General features: G+C 46.2%; 3 annotated features.

Moving 5' to 3' along the window:
- Window positions 18,355-19,252: an enhancer, noted in NCBI's record as "H3K4me1 hESC enhancer chr14:75687528-75688425 (GRCh37/hg19 assembly coordinates)". NCBI's record gives its function as "activates a minimal SCP1, AML or CMV promoter by ChIP-STARR-seq in primed H9 embryonic stem cells {active_cell/tissue: H9 hESC(primed)}" and the evidence as "EXISTENCE:reporter gene assay evidence [ECO:0000049][PMID:30033119]".
- Window positions 19,253-20,149: an enhancer, noted in NCBI's record as "H3K27ac-H3K4me1 hESC enhancer chr14:75688426-75689322 (GRCh37/hg19 assembly coordinates)". NCBI's record gives its function as "activates a minimal SCP1, AML or CMV promoter by ChIP-STARR-seq in primed H9 embryonic stem cells {active_cell/tissue: H9 hESC(primed)}" and the evidence as "EXISTENCE:reporter gene assay evidence [ECO:0000049][PMID:30033119]".
- Window positions 20,150-21,047: an enhancer, noted in NCBI's record as "H3K27ac hESC enhancer chr14:75689323-75690220 (GRCh37/hg19 assembly coordinates)". NCBI's record gives its function as "activates a minimal SCP1, AML or CMV promoter by ChIP-STARR-seq in primed H9 embryonic stem cells {active_cell/tissue: H9 hESC(primed)}" and the evidence as "EXISTENCE:reporter gene assay evidence [ECO:0000049][PMID:30033119]".

Raw genomic sequence — 22,944 nt, forward strand, 5'->3', positions numbered from 1 at the left:
GCTTATAAAATGCAGACTGTCTAATTGCTGGCTCACAGAAGATCACATAGGGGCTTAAAGCTTAGTTAGGGCAGAGCCGTCATGTGAGACATAAACAGAATGGGGAGAATCTGTAATATAGGGTGAGAACTTTGTAAGCTTCATGCTATGGACAATGGAGAAGTATATCAGGGCTCTGCAGTTTCAGGAGATAAGAACGAATTCTGAGTTAACAGGAAAAAAAAAGCCATCTGAAGGAAGGATATTGGGGAGTTTATAGAATTGAAGGAAAATCTGACCAGGCAAGAGGGGATCTCCTGGGGATTAACTCATGATTCAACTTCAAACTTCCCATCCCTGAATCTCTGTTCAAAATTCAAATGCCCAGGTGAGTCTGAATGGCTTAGCTTAGGTCATGTGCCCCCTTCATGGGACCTGGGATTGGCTGACCTCCAGAATTCTGCACAACAGAGAAAAGGAGACAAATTCCAAAGGAACAGATGCTGGCCAGACAGACGAGACATGTCTGCTCTAGTAGCCACTGGACATTGCTTTCTCTTTTTCCTTTGTTTTTCTTTTTTTTCTTTTTTAAATGGAGTTTTTTTTTTTTTTTTTGAGACGGAGTCTCGCTCTGTCACCCAGGCTGGAGTGCAGTGGCGTGATCTCGGCTCACTGCAAGCTCCACCTCCCAGGTTCACACCATTCTCCTGCCTCAGCCTCCCAAGTAGCTGGGACTACAGGTGCCCGCCACCACGCCCGGCTAATTTTTTCATATTTTTAGTAGAGACGGGGTTTCACCATGTTAGCCAGGATGATCTCGATCTCCTGATCTCGTGATCCGCCCGCCTTGGCCTCCCAAAGTGCTGGGATTACAGGTGTGAGCCACCGCGCCCGGCCAAAAAAAAAAAAGAAAAAAAAAGAGAGGGCCAGCCGTGGTGGCTCATGCCTGTAATCCCAGCATTTTGGGAGGCTGAGGGGGGCAGATCACTTGAGGTCAAGAGTTCGAAACCAGCTGGGCCAACATGGTGAAACCCCGTCTCTACTAAAAATACAAAAATTAGCTGGGCCTGGTAGCACGTGCCTGCAGTCCTAGCTACTTGGGAAGCTGAGACAGGAGAATCACTTGAACCTGGGAGGTGGAAGTCACAGTGAGCTGAGACCACGTCATTGCACTCCAGTCTGGGTGACAAGAGCAAAACTCCGTCTAAAAAAAAAAAAGAAAGAAAGAGAGAGAGAGAGACAGAGACAGAGAGAGGCAGGAGATGTGTTAGAAAGCTATTAGATGTCAACCATTGTGGAAGGAATGAACCAGGCTGGGCTGGCGGAGAATGGAACGAAGTAACCAGATATGAGGCACAAGGGCTCAAAAAGTAGTTTGTAAACTCGATTGAGCCATCTGGGGCAGTTGGGACCCCAGGAGTTCATCTCCAGCCTACACCAGAATCCTCTCTGGGAAGTGACTGGGAATCTACAATTTTAAAACACACAGCCATCCTCCATAGAAGACACTGGTCTGTGTAGATGGGCATTTGGAAACCATTGATCTATTAGACCGTTTTTTCTAAATGTCCTCTAGTCCAGTGTCTCATCTTATCTCTTTGCTCTTGCAGTTAAGCATTATCAAAGCTTAGCTTTTGAGTACTTGCAATTTGTACTCATTACATTTAGAGTCATATATCTGCAAGATCTCTTCTGAGGTCTTTGGAATGAAAACAAGGACAGAGAGGTATGTTGGCTCCTAACCGTCGCCTTATTTTGTTAGTGTGTCTGGGGCTTGTGGCTTTTGACAGGGACTCGAGAGATGACTTTGTCAGCTTTTCCTTTCACTATAGTAAGTCTCCATAACAAACACACCCAAGTCTGGTATTTCTGAACTTATGGCTCTGTACTGAATACATGCTGTTCCTGGAGCCAGGCTCATTTTGCAGTTTCTCCTCCCAACTCCACCCTTTGGTCCTGCTGATGGGCTCATTCAGCCTTGGCATGTGATAAACCTCAGGTTCTGGGAGTTTTCTCTAGGACACTGAAGAACAGTATTGACTTTTCAGTAATTGCTGGAGTTTAAAAGGAATGGTGATCTTTGGGAGTGGGAGTGTGGTACAGGTGGGCGAATAGGACTTACGGTGCCAACTGGCTTCTCCCCATTCCTATAGTGAGGGGACTCATAAGAATGAATAACTAGGAAAGGGTTTGCCAAACTTCAGTTGTTTGAATACCATCCTCATGATTTTTGCCAAATCTTCATGTTATCCATCTGCTATTTATTTTATACTTTTCATTAATTAACATATTTTCGCTGGCATAGTCACTACCTATGCTAGCCTTGCTGTAAACAATCATATTCTTGAAGTTGCTGATTCATGAAATCGGGTCTGGTATGCTACCTATAAATTTTTTTCTAGTACACATTAAAATAAATATACACTTATTGAAATTGTGTAAATGTTCACTCATGTGCTAAAATCCTCCTGTGTGCCACTAGAGGTATACGTATCACAGTTGGGGAGCATTAGCTTAGGAATGTCCATGAGCTAAGAGGCCAGTGATTCCAGACCCCCTAATTCATTGTAGTTTTGGTGCCAAATGTAAGATTTTTTTGAGTCTATTTATTGAAAAGTTACCCTTTTGTATATATCCTCTTATTGCAGAAGTCAAGGTTCAAAGCAAGAAACAGAAGCTACCCAAGGTATTTTAAGCAAGAAGGAAATTAATAATTTTTTTTTTTTGAGGTGGAGTCTTGCTCTGTCATCCAGGCTGGAGTACCAGTGGCATGATCTCGGCTTACTGCAACCTCCTCTTCCCAGGTTCAAGCGATTCTCCTGCCTCAACCTTTGGAGTAGCTGGGATTACAGGTGCCTGCCACCATGCCCAGCTAATTTTTGTATTTTCAGTACAGACGGGGTTTCACTATGTTGGTGAGGCTGGTCTTGAACTCCTGACCTCAGGTGATCCATCTGCTTTGGCCTCCCAAAGTGTTGGGATTACAGGCATGAGCCACCAAACCCGGCAGAAAATTAATAATTTTATTTTATCAGAAGGTTGGGAACTGAGCTCCCTCTTGGACTGAGTACCCAAGCACCCCAGAACTGACCTCCCAGGGGACCTGTAACTCCTTCATAATCAGGAGGCTGCTAATGGGATGGCTCAGTTTAAGGTTTCACCACCACCACAGCTGTAATCCAGGGATTAGGTATCACCTCCACCTCCTCTGCCACAAGTTCCAGTAGATAGTCATGGATCTGGAAATTACACACTGGACTGCTGCTGTGGATCCCCACATCTCCTTGACATTGCTTGCAGCAGAACGTGGCCAAAGCAGGAAGAAAGGGGCCCATGACTCAACTTCCTTTTGCCTTTCAAATCTCTCATGAGTGCATCAGATTTAATGAGGCCTACTCGCATCATCCAGAACTCTAACTTGAGGGAGTCTGAGTTTGTAGCTGGAGAGCATTTTTAACATAAGAAAGTCCAGTATGCTGGGCGTGGTGGCTCACCCCTGTAATCCCAGCTGCTTGGGAGGCTGAGGCAGGAGAATTGCTTGAACCCAGGAGGCAGAGGTTGCAATGAGCTGAGGTCATGCTACTGTACTCCAGCCTGGGTGACAGAGTGAGACCACCATGTCTCAAAAAAAAAAAAAAAAAAAAGAAAGAAAAAGAAAAAAGAAAGAAAAGAAAAGAAAGGTGAGAATGGATGCTGAGAGCCAATTAGTCATATTCATCAAATTGCCTATTAGTGGCAGCTCTGCTGCTGATTCTCAGTGAACTAAGAAATCACTAAGCCAAAGGCAGGAAAAAAAGACCACAGAAACCCACCATTAATGCAGGTTCTTATGTTACCAAATAGTCGCTCTTATGTGAATTGGGGGAGTATGCATGTGTGTATGTGTGTAAAACCAGGTTTTGTGTAATCTGAAGGTACACACTTACAAACATACAGGTTAAGTCAATAAAAGTGACCTTGCTAGCACAAACTGACATGCCACACCAAAACCTCAATGGCTCCTCATTGCCTGGGGGAAGTAATAGCCTTGTATACTATACCTTTTACAAGTTCGCCGTTAGTTAACCTCTCATCCCTTAACACCTGGCATATTCTATGACAGCCCTCCATTCTGGTTAAAGAGCTCTAGTGATTGGTTAAGAAACAGCCAAACAGTCCCCCCTTCCTGCCTTCCTGGTTAATAGGGTTCTGCCTGGAAAGCCTTGTCCTCTTCCTGTTGACTAACTTGAGTCTCAGTCTTCCTTCAAGGCCAGTTCTGTGCATTTTCCTCACTTCCTAAAGCAGGCCTTGTTCTCCCACTCTCTTCTGTCTGTATTGGTAAAAAAAACTCCTAGCTGGGCACAGTGGCTCATGTCTGTAATCCCAGCACTTTGGCAGGCCAAGGTGGGAGAATCACTTGAGCCCAGGAGTTAGAGACCAGCCTGGGCAACATAGTGAGAACTTGTCTCTACAAAAAATAAAAAAATTAGCCGGGCACAGAGGCATGTTCCTGTAATTCCAGCTACTTGGGAGGCTGAGGCAGGAGAATCTCTTGAACCCGGGAGGCAGAGATTGTAGTGAGCTGAGATCGGGCCACTGCACTCCAGCCTGGGCAGCAGAGAGAGACTGTGTCTCAAAAATAATAACAATAATAATAAAGCCCAGTAAAGGCTGAGTGCAGTGGCTCACACCTGTAATCCCAGCACTTTGGGAGGCCAAGGTGGGAGGATTGCTTGTGGAGTTTGAGACCAGCCTGGGGAACATAGCAAGACCCCATCTACTTGGGAGGCTGAGGTGGGAGGATCACTTGAGCCCAGGGGGTTGAAGCTGCAGGGAGCAGAATGGCGCCATTGCACTCCAGCCCGGGTGACAGAGCAAGACCCTGTTTCAAAAACAAGAACAAAACCAAAAAAATCCTCTTTTTCTCAGTTGGGATCTGGTTTCCACCCTCCTAGTCACCCTTTCAGGGCTTTGCTTCCCTGTAACCTGCTTGGGGAGGTGCTCCTCCCACCCCCATGTTCCTGTGTTACTGGGTACTTCCATTCATTCATTCCTTCCATAACAGGTGAAGGTGGAAGAAGGAAACCACCTTCACCTTCATTCCCATTGCAAGATGAAGGTGTGGGAGGAAGGTGGTCTTGATTTAAGGAATTAATCTGGTAGATCCTTACAGGCAGTGACAGGCAAAGCCTTAGCCAAATCATCGGAAGTGGAAACATTCTGCTGCGGAGGTGGGGAAAAGGGAATCCCTGTGCATAAGAAGAAAGGAGACACAGGGCTGGCTTTTGAGAAACAGGGACGAGGTAAAGCACTGAGAGAAGCGACATTGGAGGAGAGAGAAGGAAGAGAGCCAAGAAGGATGAAGGCCCTCTGAGGAGTGAGATGCTTGGTGCTATTGGAAAGAGGATGGAGGGCATGACTCAAACCCTCATTAAAGTCCCCTGCTGCACCCACCAATGCCACAGACAGTGGGTTTTTGTGCCATGACTAGAAAGGAAGCCGGGCACGGTGGCTCACGCCTGTAATCCCAGCACTTTGGGAGGCCGAGGCAGGTGGATCACCAGGTCAGGAGTTCAAGACCAGCCTGGCCAAGATGGTGAAACCCCATCTCTACTAAAAATACAAAAAATTAGCCAGGCGTGGTGGTACGTGCCTGTACTCCCAGCTACATGGGAAGCTGAGACAGAGAATTGCTTGAACCCGGGAGGCGGTGGTTGCAGTGAGCCAAGATTGCACCACTGTACTCCAGCCTGGGTGACAGAGCGAGACTGTCCCAAAAAACAAACAAACAAACAAACAAAACGAGAACAGGACTGAGCTCCAGATCTGGGCTGTTGTGGGACATAACAGGGACCCTTCATGGGGACAGCAAGAAGATTTGCAGCCTGACCTAATTCAGAGGAAGGAGGATCCTCGCCTCCAAAATCACTATGACTATCGGAATATCCTAGGAGATCACAGAAGTAACGGAGTGGGTGTGAGACCTTTTGCAAATGTGTGTACTCATACAGTGCAAAGGCACACCTCCCAGGGGGCCATCAGAATGCAGACCCCACTTCTATGCTCACAGAACTTTGGCTGCTACAAAGGCCTGCCAGTTAAAATTCTAAGCCTCTATTTTGATTCCTTGCTCTTGTAGGAGACAACATTTCTAAAATGATTCCCAAAAGATGTCCAAATCCCAGGAACCTCTGAATATTATGGGATTTCAGTTCCGTGATTGTGTTCTGTTTCAAGACAGGGAGATTATCCAGGTCTGCCTGCCCTAATCATGTGGGCCTTTGAGGGCAGAGGGCTGTCTCTGGATAGTAGCAGAGGAGAAAGTCAGAGATTCAAAGGACGATGCACTGCGGCTGACTTTGAAGATGGAGCGGGGAGTTTGAGAAGAACATGGGGGCATCTACTTACAGGGAGCGGATTCCAGATAGCAGCGAACAAGGGAACAGGGATCTCAGTCCTACAGCCATGAGGAATTGGATTTTGGCAACAACCTGAATGGGTTTAGAAGTGGGCTCTTCCCCAGCACCTCTAGATAAGAGCCCAGTGTGGTTGATATATTGACTTCAGCCGCGTGAAAACCTAAGCAGAGAGCTCAGCTGAGCCTGCCGGACTCTGAACCATGAATTCCACAGAACCGTGAGCTAATAAATGGGTGTGTTTAAGCCACTAAGTTTGTAGTGACTTGTTACAGAGGAATAGAAAACTAATATACCTCTCATGCCCTGCCCAATGTTGACCTCCTCAGCAGCACCTTCTAGCCCTCTAGCCCTAAGGGACTCTTTTTTTTTTTTCTTTTTTTTTTTGGAGACAGAGTCTGGCTCTGGCACCCAGGCTGGAGTGCAGTGAGGCGATCTCAGCTCACTGCAACCTCTGCCTTCCGGGTTCAAGCAATTCTTGTGCCTCAGCCTCTCAAGTAGCTGGGACTACAGGCGCGCACCATCATTCCAGGCTTTTTTTTTTTTTTTGAGACAGAGTCTCACTCTGTCGCCCAGTCTGGAGTGCAGTGGCATGATCTCAGCTCACTGCAACCTCTGCCTCCCAGGTTCAAGCGATTCTCCTGCCTCAGCCTCCTGAGTAACTGGGATTACAGGCACGTGCCGCCACGCCCAGCTAATTTTTTGTATTTTTAGTAGAGATGGGGTTTCACCATGTTGGTCAGGCTGGTCTCGAACTCCTGACTTCATGATCCACCTGCCTCATCCTCCCAAAGTGCTGGGATTATAGGCGTGAGCCACCGTGCCTGGCCTTAATTTTTGTATTTTTAGTAGAGATGGGGTTTCATCATGTTGACCAGGCTGGTCCCGAACTCCTGACCTCAGGTAATCCGCTCGCCTCTGCCTTCCAAAGTGCTGGGATTACAGGTGTGAGCCACAGCCATGTACTCTTTTATTATGGCATGCTTTAGCTGGGACCCCTTTGTTTAGCCTCTCAATATTTGACATACTCCACTTACCCTATCTGATTCCAGGCTTGGCCTCCCTTGGACTCTTCTGCCCAGGGGCGATTCCTGAGCATTCCCGCAGGACCTCTGATGTATGTGTACCTCTTCCCTCCAGTTGTTATAGTATGTAGCAAACCTAGACTGATGTCCTGTGTATAATGGGTTTGTGACATTTGTTACCCATATCCCCAACACCTATCATGGTGCTCAGCATATAGTAGATGCTCAATAATATGAGTTGATGATGCTGATGACTAGAGAGGGAAGAAAATCTCCAGATCATCCACCTCAAACATTCCCAGTGTTGGCGTTTGATGTTCTCACTGTGTTGAACTATGTGCAATTTGCAGAAGCCACCGTGGTCTGCCTTGCCTCTGAGTTCCTCCATCCCTAACTTGCTTTTCTCCATCCTCACCCCCTGTATCTTCCTCCTTCTTTCAACTGGCTAAATCTTCTTATTCTTCAGGTCTCAGCTAAATATGACATTCTTTGAGAATCTTCTCTGGTCTCCCAGTTCAAGAATAGGCCCTCTTTTGTTCCCTGGCAGTACCCCATCAATACAATTGTCTTTATAATTGTACCTGTTATTCTCTACTAGACTATAAGTCTAGAATAACAGAGAGATGTTTTCTTTTTTTTTTTACTTTTGAAACTCCAGCACCTGACACAGAGTAGTTTCTCAATAAATATTTGTTGCATGGCCATGCTTTTTTTTTTTTTTTTTTTTTTTTGAGATGGAGTCTCGCTCTGTCATCCAGGCTGGAGTGCAGTGGCACGATCTTGGCTCACTGCAACCTCTGTCTCCTGGGTTCAAGTGATTCTCCTGCCTCAGCCTCCCGAGTAGCTGGGATTACAGGCATGCACCGCCACGCCTGGCTAATTTTGTATTTTAATACAGATGGGGTTTCTCCATGTTGATCAGGCTGGTCTTGAACTCCCGACCTCAGATGATCCACCTGCCTCGGCCTCCAAAGTGCTGGGATTACAGGCGTGAGCCACCGCGCCTGGCCATGGTTCTTAATTACTTGGGTATCTTGTTAAAGTGCAGATTCCTTCTTGGATCTGGGTAGCACCTGAGCGTCTGCATTTCTAAAAACGTCCAGATGATGTTGATGCTGCTGGTTCATGAGTCACACCTGGAGTAGCAAGGTAATTGGATACACACTCCCACCATTACCTCCATTACCTCACAGTGGTGAAAAGTTTGCATTTAAGAGAAGCTTAACAGGGTTTGGGGTGCAAATAATGGCCACTGGACAACAGCTCCCCCGTCATTGCTAAGGCAGCTGACTCATTTACAGAGGTGAAGCCAGTAACCTTGGCCTTATTAGTAACCGAGCTAACTGCCACAAATGAATAAATAACAACATTTGGCTGATTTGCATTTCAAAACGGTTTCCTTCCCTTGCTCACACTCTGGTGGAGGTACTAATGAACCATGAAATATCTAAAACATTGGCAGCAAGGAGGAAAAGAAGAAGCATTGACTCATGCCTGAAGAATAATGATCTTCAAAAATCAAGAGCTATTAAATGCAATGTCATGGCCGGGCGCGGTGGCTCACGCCTGTAATCCCAGCACTTTGGGAGGCCAAGGCGGGTGGATCATGAGGTCAGGAGATCGAGACCATCCTGGCTAACAAGGTGAAACCCCGTCTCTACTAAAAATACAAAAAAAAATTAGCCGGGCGCGGTGGCGGGCGCCTGTAGTCCCAGCTACTCGGGAGGCTGAGGCAGGAGAATGGCGTGAACCCGGGAAGCGGAGCTTGCAGTGAGCCGAGATTGCGCCACTGCAGTCCGCAGTCCGGCCTGGGCGACAGAGCGAGACTCCGTCTCAAAAAAAAAAAAAAAAAAAAAAAAAAAATGCAATGTCATATCCAGGGTTGGATCCTGGAACAGGGAAAAAAACATTAGAAGAAAAACCGGTGAAATCAGAATAAAGCAGGGAGTTTAGTTCCTAGTAATGTACCAGTGTGGGTTTCTGAGTTTTGACAAATGTACCATGGTAATGTAAGAATGCAGGAGAAACTGGATAAAGGGTATATGGGAACTCTCTGTGTTACCTTTGCAATTTCTCTGTAAATCTAAAATTATTTCAAAATAAAAAATTTACTGGGCTGGGCCCAGTGGCTCATGCCTGTAATCCCAGCACTTTGGAAGCCTGAGGTGGGTGGATCACTTGAGGTCAGGAGTTCAAGACCAGCCTGGCCAACATGGAGAAACCCCTTCTCTACTAAAAATACAAAAATTAGCTGGGTGTAGTGGCAGGCACCTGTAGTCCCGGCTACTCAGGAGGCTGAGGCAGGAGAATCACTTGAACCCAGGAGGCAGAGGTTGCAGTGAGCTGAGATCACGCCATTGCACTCCAGCCTGGGGGACAGAGCAAGAATCTGTCTCAAAAAAAAAGAAAAAAAAATACTAAAAAAATTAAGAGGTAGATAGCTGTATAGATTTTCTTCATCTTGGATAATAGTATTCCATAAATATAAAACAAGTTTTTATAAATATAAAACAATTGCCATTGATTTAACAATAGGTTGGAAATGTGTATTCATGGAAAAGATTCTCTATCCAAACCTAAGTAGCAATCAAGGAAGGGATCAGATTGTGGCTGGTCCCAAGAATGTACCTGGCAATGTGGCATACCAGTGGCACCAACACTCCAGAAGTGCTTTGCCATATATCATGAATTCCAAGACAGCCTGGCTGCCATTGGTTCCTGATTCCTATTTTTCTTTCTTGAGGATATCAGGAACTTCTTCCATGCTTGGAAGAAATGTCTTTGTATGTTTGTTTGTTTATGTAACAATATTATCTTAAACACTTGGTCATGGCATCACATTTTGCCTCAACTGTATTTCTCTGTATTCTTATATACTAGAGACATTAAGTCTGGTGAGACCACGGACTTGAACTTACCCATCATTGCATGTCCAGCACCTGACTCCAAACGAGGCTCATTACAGGTGCTTAATAATTATTTGTTGGATGGATGAGTAAATGAGGTAAGTCAACGTTTGAAGTAAATTCCTGCCTAAAAAGCATGCATTTTCCAATGATATTCATTATGCAATTATACCCCTTTGATGGAACTTTTTCTTCAAATCTTGTAAAAACTTACCAATAGCCCTTTTCCAGTTCCTTCCGGTGAATTCATAGAAAGTCGTGAAGACCTTATTAACTCTTGTAGAAACTATAACCTTAACTAAAACAGTGCACAGTGGGTGTGCTCTGGTCTCAGGAGGCAGCTCCCCAGGACCTGCACTGAGGCTCAGAGTCTGGGCTGGCCACAGAGGTATGGTCAGAGACTGTGTGGTCAAAGCAGAGTCTACATCGTGTTTGTGGCAGGCATTTATTGCTTTGTCTGTCCTACAGTACCTGCTTTCTTGAGGAAGCTGCTCTTACCCCACTTCAATGTGGTGGGAAAGGAACTCTTAGTTCACTCGTCTCCCTGGTAGACCAGTGACCCCTGCCAGGCCAATCACAGACTTCTCTGTGGTTTTAAAACTTGGGGCTAGAGGAGAAGGGCTTTTGCCTTTTAGAACATGGGATTGGGAGGATGTGAGTCAAGGGCAGCTGTCAGCCACCTTCCCTGCCACGTGGAGAATATCTACAGGAGAAAAGAGGGGACTCAGCCAGGACATGGAAACGGAGAGAGGAAGAAATAACTAATATTCATGTTTGAGTGCCTGGATGCAATTGTACTTTAGACTAACTCAACCCCCTGGACTTCCCAATTATGACAGCCAACATGTGCCCTTTTTCTTTTCTTTTTTTTCTTTTTTTTTTGTTTTGTTTTTTGAGACAGGGTCTGGCTCTGTCACCCAGGTTGGAGTGCAGTGGCATGATCTTGACTCACTGTAACCTCCGCCTCCTGGGTTCAAGGAATTCTCGTGCCTCAGCCTCCCTAGTAGCTGAGATTACGGGCATGCTTCACCACACCCTGCTAATTTTTTATTGTATTTTTAGTGGAGATGGGGTTTTGCAATGTTGGCCAGGCTGGTCTCGAACTGCTGGCCTCAAGTGATCTGCCCACCTCGGCCTCCCAAAGTTCTGGGATTACAGGCATGAGCCACTGTGCCTGACCTATGTGCCCTTTTTCTTAGGCTGATTTGGGTTTCTATCAGTTACCATAGAGAGTTCTGACTGCTACTATAATCCTGGAGGAAAATGTGCAGTTTCTTTCTCATCCCTAATGGGAAATAGGATACGCACTTCCACGGTTACTTCACAGTGGCAAAACGTTTGCATTGCTCATCCAGGGAACCAGCAATGTGGGCCTCTGCTTGGACTTGGTGCTGTGACAGAGATAGCCAGCTGTCCACCCAAAATTGAAGCCCTTACTACCATTGCATGTCATTGTCACTGGGGGTGGCACCTCACCACAGACTATATTCCCCATCTCCTCTTGCATTTAGGTGGGGATCCATGATTAGCTCTCACCAATGGAATATGAGTAGAAATGATGTGTATCACTTCCAAGAGGCAGTTAAAAAGTGGGGATTCCTTTGCCACTCTCTCCTTTTTGCTCCCCACCAGCTGGATAAAGAAGATTCTGAGGCCCTGGAAGATGGCTGAGCCACAGGTGGAAAAAGGCTAGGACCAGGACAACTTACATTTGACTGTTATGTAAGTGAGAAACAAACTTTCATTATGTTAAGCTGCTGAAATGTTGGGAATTTTTTTTTTCAGATTATAGCTGTTGACTTCTAATATTATTTGATAGTTGAGGCTGCTACAATTACCTACTGCTCGTGGATTCCATTACTGGACCAAGAAGCACACAAAGTAAGGGCAATTGCCCAAAGATCGGACCACTTAAGTTAGTCATGAGCCATATCTGCAAGCGAAGTCCTTCTCATTAAAGGAACAAAGATAATGTGCCGGCAACCTGACACAGGAACTTAGTTCATACCACATTAACCGCCTTTTGTTGTTTCTGCCATGCTCTAGTTAAGGCCAAAGTGGATATTATTGTGATTATCATTTTAACAGTTATTTATTTATTTGTTTATTTTTTGAGACAGGGTCTCACTCCCAGGCTGGAGTGCAGTGGCATGTTCTTGGCTCACTGCAACCTCCACCTCCTGGGCTTAAGCAGTTCTCTTGCCTCAGCCTCCCAGCAGCTGGGACTACAGGTGCATGCCACTGCACCCAGCTAATTTTTGTATTTCTTGTAGAGATTGGGTTTCACCATGTTGCCCAGGCTGGTCTCAAACTCCTGAGCTCAGGTGATCCACTCGCCTCGGCCTTCCAAAGTGCTGGGATTACAGGCATGAACCACCACGCCTGGCCTATTATCATTTTTTTAGGGATGCGTTTGTTATAGCAGCTAGCAGTACTCTGGCTAATACATTTCCAATGCCCGGAGCTGGGTTGAGTTGAAGATTTTGTAAGTAGAAGCATAAGCAAAGTTTAAACTCCATCTTGAGAGAGGCCAAGCGTCACAGCAAGAAGAGCTGAACTCTGTGGTGAAGTCCAAGGGATGATTTCAAGGATGGAAACAAAAGAGAAAGTTGAAGGGTCAGCAACCAGGTGGGACCTGAAAGAAGTGGGGAGTGGGAAAAAAGATCGGGGACAGATATAAAGTGAGAGCAGACCAAGTGGAGGGGCCTGTGGTTTGGTTTTTGTGGCTTCCAGCAGCCCGGAGCATGGGTGTGTCTTCCTGGTTTGGCGGGGCAGGGGCAGGGTGGGCAGGGAGCACAGGTAACCTGGTGGTGGTGGTGGGAGGGAATGGTACCAGGTGTCGGTCCAGGAGGATGAGTTGAATCCACAAACAAGAAAGCAGTCATGACGTCGGAACCTCCAAGGCTTGGGAACATGTTGGGATGTAGGGCAGGAAATAGGTCAAGGCAAGTGGTTCAGAACCAATGACTGAGGTATTTTGGAAGCCTCATTCTCTGTGGAGTCTTAGGAATAGGCCCGGTAGGTAAAGGAAAGGAAAGTAGAGAGCTAGGTGGGGCTGAAGCTCAGGGAGGCACCCAGGCCTCATTCAAAGGGGGTCTTGCTGCTCAGGTCCTGTCTATTGTTGCCACGTGAACCTGCAGCCCCCTTGTCTTCATATCTTCCAATTTTTCAAGAAAAGCAGGAAATCTGGATTTTTGTGTGTGAAATCTACTGATTTTTAAATGTTGGCAACTAATTCAAAATTTAAAAAACAACAACATGTAGGCCAAACAAAACACACTTGCGGGCTGAATTGGTCCATCCAAGCTGCCAGTTTTTGGCCTCCAGCTTAGAGGAAATGGGCAGAACCAAAGGCATGTAAAAAACAAAAACCAAAACCATGCAAGCCGTTCAGTTTCCTCCGACTTCCAAGCACCACGAGATACTATTGGAAAAAGAGCCTTGTGATAACTGCTAACTAAAACACAATACCTTGGGTCTTCAGAAAAGCCACAGGCCCTGGAGGTTGCCAGAGATATACCTTGTAGCTCCCCATGTCTGTTGCAGTTTCCTTAAAATTGGATCTCCAGCTTTGATGGAGTGAACTAATTTTCTTTACTCTTTCTATCAGGTGCATCAGTTTTGAGGCTTACTCTCTTTTCTGAAAGCCGTCAGCTCTATCTTGACCCCTGAGTTTCCAGTAAAAGCAATCGCTTGGGTGAAGGCAATGCAGAGAAAGAGCACTTGAACCAAATAAGAGTTTGACTTAACTAAATTTTATGATAGGAAATGCTTCCAGGCCAAAAACCTCAAAAGCGATCAAAGGTTTTCAAAGACTGGATCCAGTGAGTACAGTTTATTAACCCTGGCCTGTGTCCGGGCCAAGGTCATGCCCAGAGGATGTGGCAAATGCAGGATCTGATTTTTTTTTAATGTGGTCTTTTAGAGGGTATATATTGACATTCCTGGTTGCCCAACTTAGTATCTTAGTGTAAGGCTCTGCACATCCTAACGGTCCTGTTTGCCCGGGACTAAGATATTTCCTGGGATGTGGGACTTGGCAGTGCTAAAACTGGGACAATATTGGGCAAACTAGGACGTTGGTCATCTTACACCCTAGAGGCCTTTTCTCAGTGTTCATGCTATGAAGCTTTGAAACCTTTTTATTGTCCCTTTAAAAAATAAAACCTAGCTGGGTGCAGTGGCTCACACCTGTAGTCTCAGCACTTTGAGCAGCTGAGGCAGGAGCATCACAAGGTCAGGAGATGGAGACCATCCTGGCCAACATGGTGAAACCCCATCTCTATTAAAAATACAAAAATTAGCTGGTGTGGTGGCATGTGCCTGTAATCCCAGCTACTCAGGAGGCTGAGGCAGGAGAATTGCTTGAACCTGGGAGGTGGAGGTTGCAGTGAGCCACGGTCGTGCCACTGCACTCCAGCCTGGTGACAGAGCGAGACTCCATCTAAAAATAAAAATAAAAATAAAACCCTAGCCTGGGCAACATAAAGAGACCCCCATCTCCACAAAAAATTTAAAAATTAGCTTGGTGTGATGGTGCTTGCCTGTAGTCCCAGCCACTTGGGAGGCTGAGGTGGGAAGACCACTTGAGCCTGGGAGGTGGAGGCTGCAGTGAGCCATGATTGTGCCACTGCACTCCAGTCTAGGGGACAGAGTGAAACCCTGTCTCAAAAACCAAACAACAACAACAAAAACAAAAATCCAACAAAGCTGGTATGGCGGCATATGTCTGGAATGTCAGCTACTTGGGAGGCTGAGGCAGGAGGATCGTTTGAGCTGATGGGTTGAAGACCAGCCTGGTCAACATAAGGAGACCCTGTCTCATAAAATAAAATAAAATAAAAATTAAAACAGCAACAACAAAAAAGCAGAGCAAAACACACTTCACTCTAAACTGCAATAGTGCTGAGCTCTCCTGGCTTTCTTCCTATTTCTCCAGTTGTTCTTACTCATCTCCTTGGCTGCTTTCTTAGCCTCCTCCTACCTTTCATCTCTGAATTGCACCTCAAGGTTTAGCCGGTGGGCTTCTGTTCTATTTTCTGCCCTTCTCAGTGGACTCACCTTTACATGGAAGACTTCCACATTTAGTTCTTGAGCTCATATTCTCACCTAAGATCCAACCCTTCAGCTCCAACAACTTCATAAACATTTTCCACTGGGATGCCCTGATCACCTCATGTCCTGAGTCATTGTCTTCCAGACCAACCCAGCTCCCACTCACTCACTTAGTGTCCTCTTCCATTAGAGGCAGTACCATTTTTTTCAAGCCTTCTGTCTCAAAATGCCATACTAATCCCAAATTAGCATCCACGTACTATGAGTGTATCCACAGCAACTACTACACTGCAGGGCACATTTGAAGGGCTCAGTGGAGGCTTGTCGAATCAAAGCAGCTCTTGGGAAGAGAGTCAAAGGAGGAGGACATGCAATAGCATTTTACCAGAGGCTCAAGATACCCAAGTAAATACCCAGGATTTGCAGGGAGAAGTAAAGCAAAGACCTGGCAAGTGTTATCACTGCAGCCATAGTTAATTCAAATGTTCATGGATGCAACTTCAACTATAGACATTTGACCACCTGTTAGTTAAATGAACCAGAATGTTATTAAATTTTTAGTTCACTTTGTCTTGTGTTGATATACTTTCAGGCATGGTCAAGCTTCCAGACAATTACAAGGGTTAACATAACAAATATGGATCCTATTCTTTTGTTTTATTTGCCAGATTCCTGACAGAAGAGTCTATGTCTAATTACCAAGTGCTCGGAATCAGAGCAAAGCTAGTGGCCAGAATCCAGATTTTTCTCCTTCCATCCCCTATCCTTTCCCATATGCTTTTTTTTTTTCCTTAAAAATACGAAAAGTGGCTGGAACGGTGGCTCACACCTGTAATCCCAGCACTCTGGGAGGCTGAGGTGGGCAGATCACTTGAGGTCAGGAGTTTGAGACCAGCCTGGCCAACATGGTGAAACCCTGTCTCCACTAAAAATACGAAAATTAGCTGGGTGCGGCAGTGAGCGCCTGCAGTCTCAGCTATTCAGGAGGATGAGGCAGGAGAATCACTTGAACCCTGGAGGTGGAGGCTGCAATGAGCCCAGAGCACGCCAATGCACTCCAGCCAGGGCTACAGAGTGAGACTCTGTCTAAAAAAAAAAAAAAAAAAAGTACTTGTGGCCAGGCACAGCAGCTCATGCCTGTAATCCCAGCACTCTGGGAGGCTGGGCAGGAGGAGGATTGCTTGAACCCAGCCTGGGCAACATAGTGAGACCCCATCTCTATAAAAAATAGAAAATTAGCGTGATGTGATGGTGCGTGCCTGTAGTCCAAGCTACTCAGGAGGTAGAGGCCAGAGGATAGCTTGAGCCTAGAAGGTTGAGGCTGCAGTAAGCCATGATCATTTCACTGCACTCCAGCCTGGACGACAGAGTGAGAGAGACCCTGCCTCTAAACTAAAAAAAAAAAAAAAAAAAAACTACCTATAGCATAATAGCTTTTAAAAGTCTTTTTGAAGTAGGCTGGGCACGGTGGCTCACGCCTGTAATCCCAGCACTTTGGGAGGCCAAGGTGGGCAGATCACGAGGTCAGGAGATCGAGACTATCCTGGCCAACATGGTGAAACCCTGTCTCTACTAAAAATACAAAAATTAGCTGGGTGTGGTGGCACGTGCCTGTAATCCCAACTACTCGGGAGGCTGAGGCAGGACAATCTCTTGAACCAGAGAGTCGGAAGTTGCAGTGAGCTGAGATCGTGCCACTGCACTCTAGCCTGGGTGACAGAGCAAGACTCCGTCTCAAAAAAGAAAAAAAAAAAGAAATAGAAATATACCATGTTTTTGGTAGGAGCCAGCAGTTTGGAAACATTGCTCATATTCTTTAGGAAAATCCTTCTCCCAGTGGATCTTCCAGATATCCCCAAGTCTTGGGATTCCCTAGTGCCCCCTTTCTTTGCATCTATTAAGTACAGGGCACACCTTAGACCAGGGTTTCCCAATCTCTGCATTATTGGCATTTAGGGCTGGTTAATTATTTGGTAGGGTCAGGAGGAGCTGTGTGCTATCCTGAGCATTGGAGGATGTTTACTGGATGCTAGTAGCACACAGTTGTGATGACCCAAGATGTCACTAGACATTGCCAAATATAACCTGAGGGGTAAATTGCCCATGCACTGCACTTGATTCTTTTACTCAGAAATGAACATGGAGCAATTTACGTGCACCGGTAAAATGCGGCTACTCTCGGAGTCCCTTTGGGCCATACCCCAGCCAGGGAAGTTCCCAGAGATGGGAGCAGAGGATTATCTCCAGGCAGTGCTCAAGGTGAGACATGAAAGCCCAATCAATCAAGGAAACTCTAATTGGAACCATTACCTTACCTAAGCAGACTCTCTTTTGGAAGCTCACCCTGCACGCAGGTAGGTGCCTCTGGGATCTTTTGCCTTCCTCAGGAGGTATGGGATGGAGGGTGCTGGAGAGGGAAGGTTGGCCGGCTTCCGAGACACAATTAGAATGGCCTGAGTCAGCAGAGCTGCTCTAGGCCTTGGGGATTTCCATGGGGAACTGTGTGGACAGAATTCCCCCGGGATGGTGGTCTAGACAGGGCTCACCCTTCCCTCTGCTCACCAGGAGCTTCTGCTTCCCCTTTAGGAAGAGGAAACACCCTGGCTGTTTATTTCGGGGCTGTAGGATCTGTTGTGAATGAGCCCCAGGATGGGCCGCAGGATGTCTTTCTTCCCTGGTGAGACATTTTAGGAAGTGCACCGAGCTGGCAGCAGCCGTGCGAGATGGAAGTGGTGTGCCACGTGGGCAGGTGCACCAGCAGAGCAATTAGTGAAACAAAGGAAGGAGAATGCCTGAGATTAAGTCCAGCAACTAAGAAAATGTAATTTATTTTATTTTATTATTATTGTTTTTTGAGACGGAGTCTTGCTCTTGTCACCCAGGCTGGAGTGCAGTGGTGTCATCTCCATTCACTGCAACCTCCGCCTCCCAGGTTCAAGTAATTCTCCTGCCTCGGCCTCCCGAGTAGCTGGGATTACAGGCACCCACCACCTTGCCCGGCTAATTTTTGTATTTTTAGTACAGATGGGGTTTCACCATGTTGCCAGGCTTGTCTCGAACTCCTGACCTCGTGATCTGCCAGCCTTGGCCTCCCAAAGTGCTGGGATTATAGGCGTCAGCCACCGTGCCCGCCCAGAAAATGTAAATGTAACTCAAAAGCAGATTAGAATCCTTGTTAACTTTCCTTATCTTAAAAAGCAATCTGCTTGTTAAAAAAATTAATTTAATTTAGAAAAACTGCAAAGTGGCCGGGTGTGGTGGCTCACGCTTGTAATCCTAGCACTTTGGGAGGCCGAGCGGGCGGATCACGAGGTCAATATATCGAGATCATCCTGGCCAACATGGTGAAACCCTGTCTCTACTAAAAATACAAAGAGTAGGCTGGGCGTGGTGGCTCATGCCTGTAATCCCAGCACTTTGGGAGGCCAAGGCGGGTGGATCACGAGGTCAGGAGATTGAGACCATCCTGGCCAACATGGTGAAACCTCATCTCTACTAAAAATACAAAAATTAGCTGGGCATGGTGGTGGCACACACCTGCAGTCCCAGCTACTCAGGAGGCTGAGGCAGGAGAATCACTTGAACCCGGGAGGCAGAGGTTGCAGTGAGCCGATATCGTGCCACTGCATTCCATCCTGGGTGACAGAGCGAGACTCGGTCTCAAAAAAAAAAAAAAAAAAGAATGATCTTTACTATCACTCTTATACAAATTCTCCCCATGCTGAGGGTTTCAGGGAGAGATCAGAATCATGGAAGATTTTGAGCACTTTGAAAGAAAGATATTTTAGAAGTTCTTTAGTTGTAATATTTTGCCCTTTTGGGAAAAAACACATTGCAGAAAATACAGAAAAATCACAGATAAATATAATTCACAATTCTGCCACCTAGAGAAAATCTACCTTTAACATTGTAATGTCTGTTTTTTAGTCTTTCTATACATATACATACTTACAAAATATGACATACGTGTGTATATATACATACATATACACATACGTATACATATATAACTTTTAAAAATGTTAGCACTTGTGCTGTCTGGGGAGCCAGGAGGGAGACAGTGGGGAGAGCCACTTTTAGGTGGCCTGGCCCCTGCTCTCTGACTCTAGTTATAGGAGATCCGGAAGCATTTCCCCAAGTACAAGCCAAGGCAAGTTCCTGGGGCCCTGTCTGTTCATTGAATCACTGGACCAGGGGAGGAGCCATGAGCAGAGAGCCCCCAGTCTCTGGGGGTCCTGCCTCCCTGGATCCCACATAAACAGAGGAGCAGCACCCACAGCCTCCTACTCTTCCTGCTCCCTTCTCATTCTTACCCTTTTTTGGGGAAGTCCAGGACCCCAAGAATCCTGGGTCTCACTCATCCCCTAAAAAAACCTTAGCCCTGGGGCAACGATTTCCCTATTGTCCCAGCCCCACCTGCGGGGAGTACCAAAAGTACAAGAATTACCCAACCAGTGAGTGGGTCAATCGGGTTCTCCCTGGGGAGTATGACACTCCCCGACGAGCAAGGGAAGTACACTCACTCCCCAGGACGGCTCCGCAGACGCAGACCGAAGCTTATGGTGGGAGGGTGCATTCTAGGAAGAGGAAATGGGTAAGGACATTCACTATGCATTAGCTCACCACTGACCCTTCATGCACCTTCTCATTTAACTTTGAAATGAAATGCTCAGGATGTTATTGTCATGGCCATTTTACAGACGAGGAACCTGAGGCTGGTGCTGAAGCTTCTGAAGTAAAACTGTGTGAGCTTGGCTGACTCCACCTGGTGTCATGTATGCCCACACTGCTGTTCACTAGCTGGAACCCCCGACTGCCTCCTCCCCGTCACTGGTGCCCCTTAGTCTGTAAGAGTGGCCTTCCTTCTCTCAGGAATCATCCTTGACTCTTTCCCTCAGCTCCACATCGAATCCGTCAGCAAGACCCATCCACTCTGCCTCCAACACATCTCCTGTGTCTTCCATTTCTCTCCATCTTTGCTGCTCCTACCTGGCCTAAAACACCATCATTCTTTCCTAAACTTTTGCAATTGCCTTTTCATTGGTCTTCCTGCCACCACATGCCTTATTTTCCACACCACAGCCAAAATGATCTTTTATTTTTTAAAAAGTATTTTTATTTATTAAATTTTTTTGACACTGAGTCTTGCTGTCGTCCAGGCTGGAGTGCAGTGGTGTGATCACAGCTCATTGCAACCTTGACCTTTTGGGCTCAAGTGATCCTCCTGCCTCAGTCTTGCAAGTAGGTGGGACGACAGGCATGTGCCCAGCTAATTTTTTTTTTTTTTTTTGAGACAGAGTCTCGCTCTGTCACCCAGGCTGGAGTGCAATGGCATGATCTCTACTCACTGCAACCTCCACCTGCCAGGATTAAGCGATTCTCCTGCCTCAGCCTCCTGAGTAGCTAGGACTACAGGTGTGCGCCACCACACCCAGCTAATTTTTATTTTTGTATTTTTAGTAGAGACAGGGTTTCACCATATTGGCCAGGATGAAATCGACCTTGTGATCCGCCCACTCGGCCTCCCAAAGTGCTGGGATTACAGGCGTGAGCCACTGCGCCTGGCCCCAGCTAATTTTTTATTTTGTTTTTTTTGTAGATACAGGGTCTGATATATTGCACAGGCTGCAAAATGATTTTTTTTTTCTTTTGAGATGGAGTCTCACTCTGTCATCCAAGCTGGAGTGTGGTGGCACGATCTCTACTCACTACAACCTCTACCTCCCAGGCTCAAGTGATTCTCCTGCCTCAGTCTCCTGACTAGCTGGGATTACAGGCACGTGCCACCACACCTGGCTAATTTTTGTATTTTTAGTAGAGATGAGGTTTCACCGTGTTGGCCAGGCTGATCTCAAACTCCTGAACTCAAGGGATCCACCTGCCTCAGCCTCCCAAAATGCTGGGATTGCAGGCATGTGCCACCGCACGTGGCCTGCAAAATGATCTTTTAAACAGATTGTATCACTCCCCTGCAAAGCCTCCAATGGATTCCAGACAAACCTTCAACAAAACCCTTAATCCCTACAGGATGTGGCCTCTGCTTGCTTCTCAGACCTCACTCCTGCCACTTCCCCCACCCCCACACTCTAGCCACACTGCCTTTCTCTCTGTTCCTCAAACAGTCAAGCTGGCTCTGCCTTAGGGACACTGCAGTTGCTATTCTTTCCATCTGGACTGCTTTTCTCACTCAGTTTCCCACGGCTGGTTCCTTCTTGCCATTCAAGACGCAGTATAAAGGTCACCTTCTCAGAGAGGCTCTCCCTAACCACCTGTTCTAAGTAGCCACTTAATCACTTGCTATCACATTCACCTGTTTTAATTATTTGCATACCACTTATCACTATGGGGTTTTTTCTTTCTTTCTTTCTTTTTTTTTTTTTTGCCCCAGGTAATCTGCAGTAATGTGCTCTTTAAAATTTTGTCATTTTGGCGGGGTGCAGTGGCTCACACCTATAATCCCAGCACTTTGGGAGGCCAAGGTAAGTGGATTGCCTGAGCTCAGGAGTTCGAGAGCAGCCTAGGCAAAATGGTGAAACCCTACCTCTACTAAAAATACAAAAATTAGCCAGTGTGGTGGTGCAAGCCTGTAATCCCAGCTACTTGGAAGGTTGAGGCAGGAGAATTGCTTGAACTCAGGAGGCGGAGTTTGCAGTGAGCTGAGATCGCACCACTGCACTCCAGCCTGGGTGACAGAGTGAGACTCTGTCTCAAAAAAATAAAAAAATTAAAATTTTGTCATTTATTCATTCATTCATTTGTTCATTCCTGTGTCCTTCCACTAGAATCTATCCCCAATGCCTAGAAGAGTGTCTGGTATATAGTGGCTGCTCGATAAGTATTTGTTGAATGAATTTTTGAATGAATGAATCACATTTTTCCTTGATTAATTCAGTTAACAATTTTCATCTGTTGGGGCCAGATACTAAGCTAAAGGCCATGAGAAACATAAACAAGACACATCAGCTCTCAAGAAGTGTTTGATTCATGATGTCTGAGATGTACTTTTAAATAATGCAGAAAAAAAAGGAGGACAGATGAAATACAACTGGCCAAATGTTGATGACTATCGAGGTAGCATGATGGAAAAGGGGGGTTATTACATTATTTTTTGACTTTTGTGTATCTTTCAAAATGTACATAATAAAAAGGTATTTTTGGCCAGGTGCGGTGACTCACACCTGTAATCCCAGCACTTTCGGAGGCTGAGGCGGGAGGATCACTTGAGGTCAGGAGTCCCAGACCAGTCTGGCCAACATGGTGAAACCTCGTCTCTACTAAAAATACAAAAATTAGCCAGGCGTGGTGGCGGGCGCCTGTAATCTCAGCTACTCGGGAGGCTGAGGCAGGAGAATTGCTTGAACCTGGGAGGCAGAGGTTGCAGTGAGTCGAGATGGCATCACTGCACTCCAGCCTGGGCAACAGAGCAAGACTCCTGCTCAAAACAAAACAAAACAAAACAAAACAAAAAGGTATTTTAAAATTTTTATTTAAAAAGCAGCTATGGCTAGGCATGGTGGCTTATTCCTGTAATCCTAGCACTTTGGGAGGCTGAGGCGGGTGGATTGCTTGAGCTCAGGAGTTTGA

This window comes from Homo sapiens, chromosome 14 (assembly GCF_000001405.40).
Source record: "Homo sapiens chromosome 14, GRCh38.p14 Primary Assembly".
Taxonomy (NCBI): domain Eukaryota; kingdom Metazoa; phylum Chordata; class Mammalia; order Primates; family Hominidae; genus Homo; species Homo sapiens.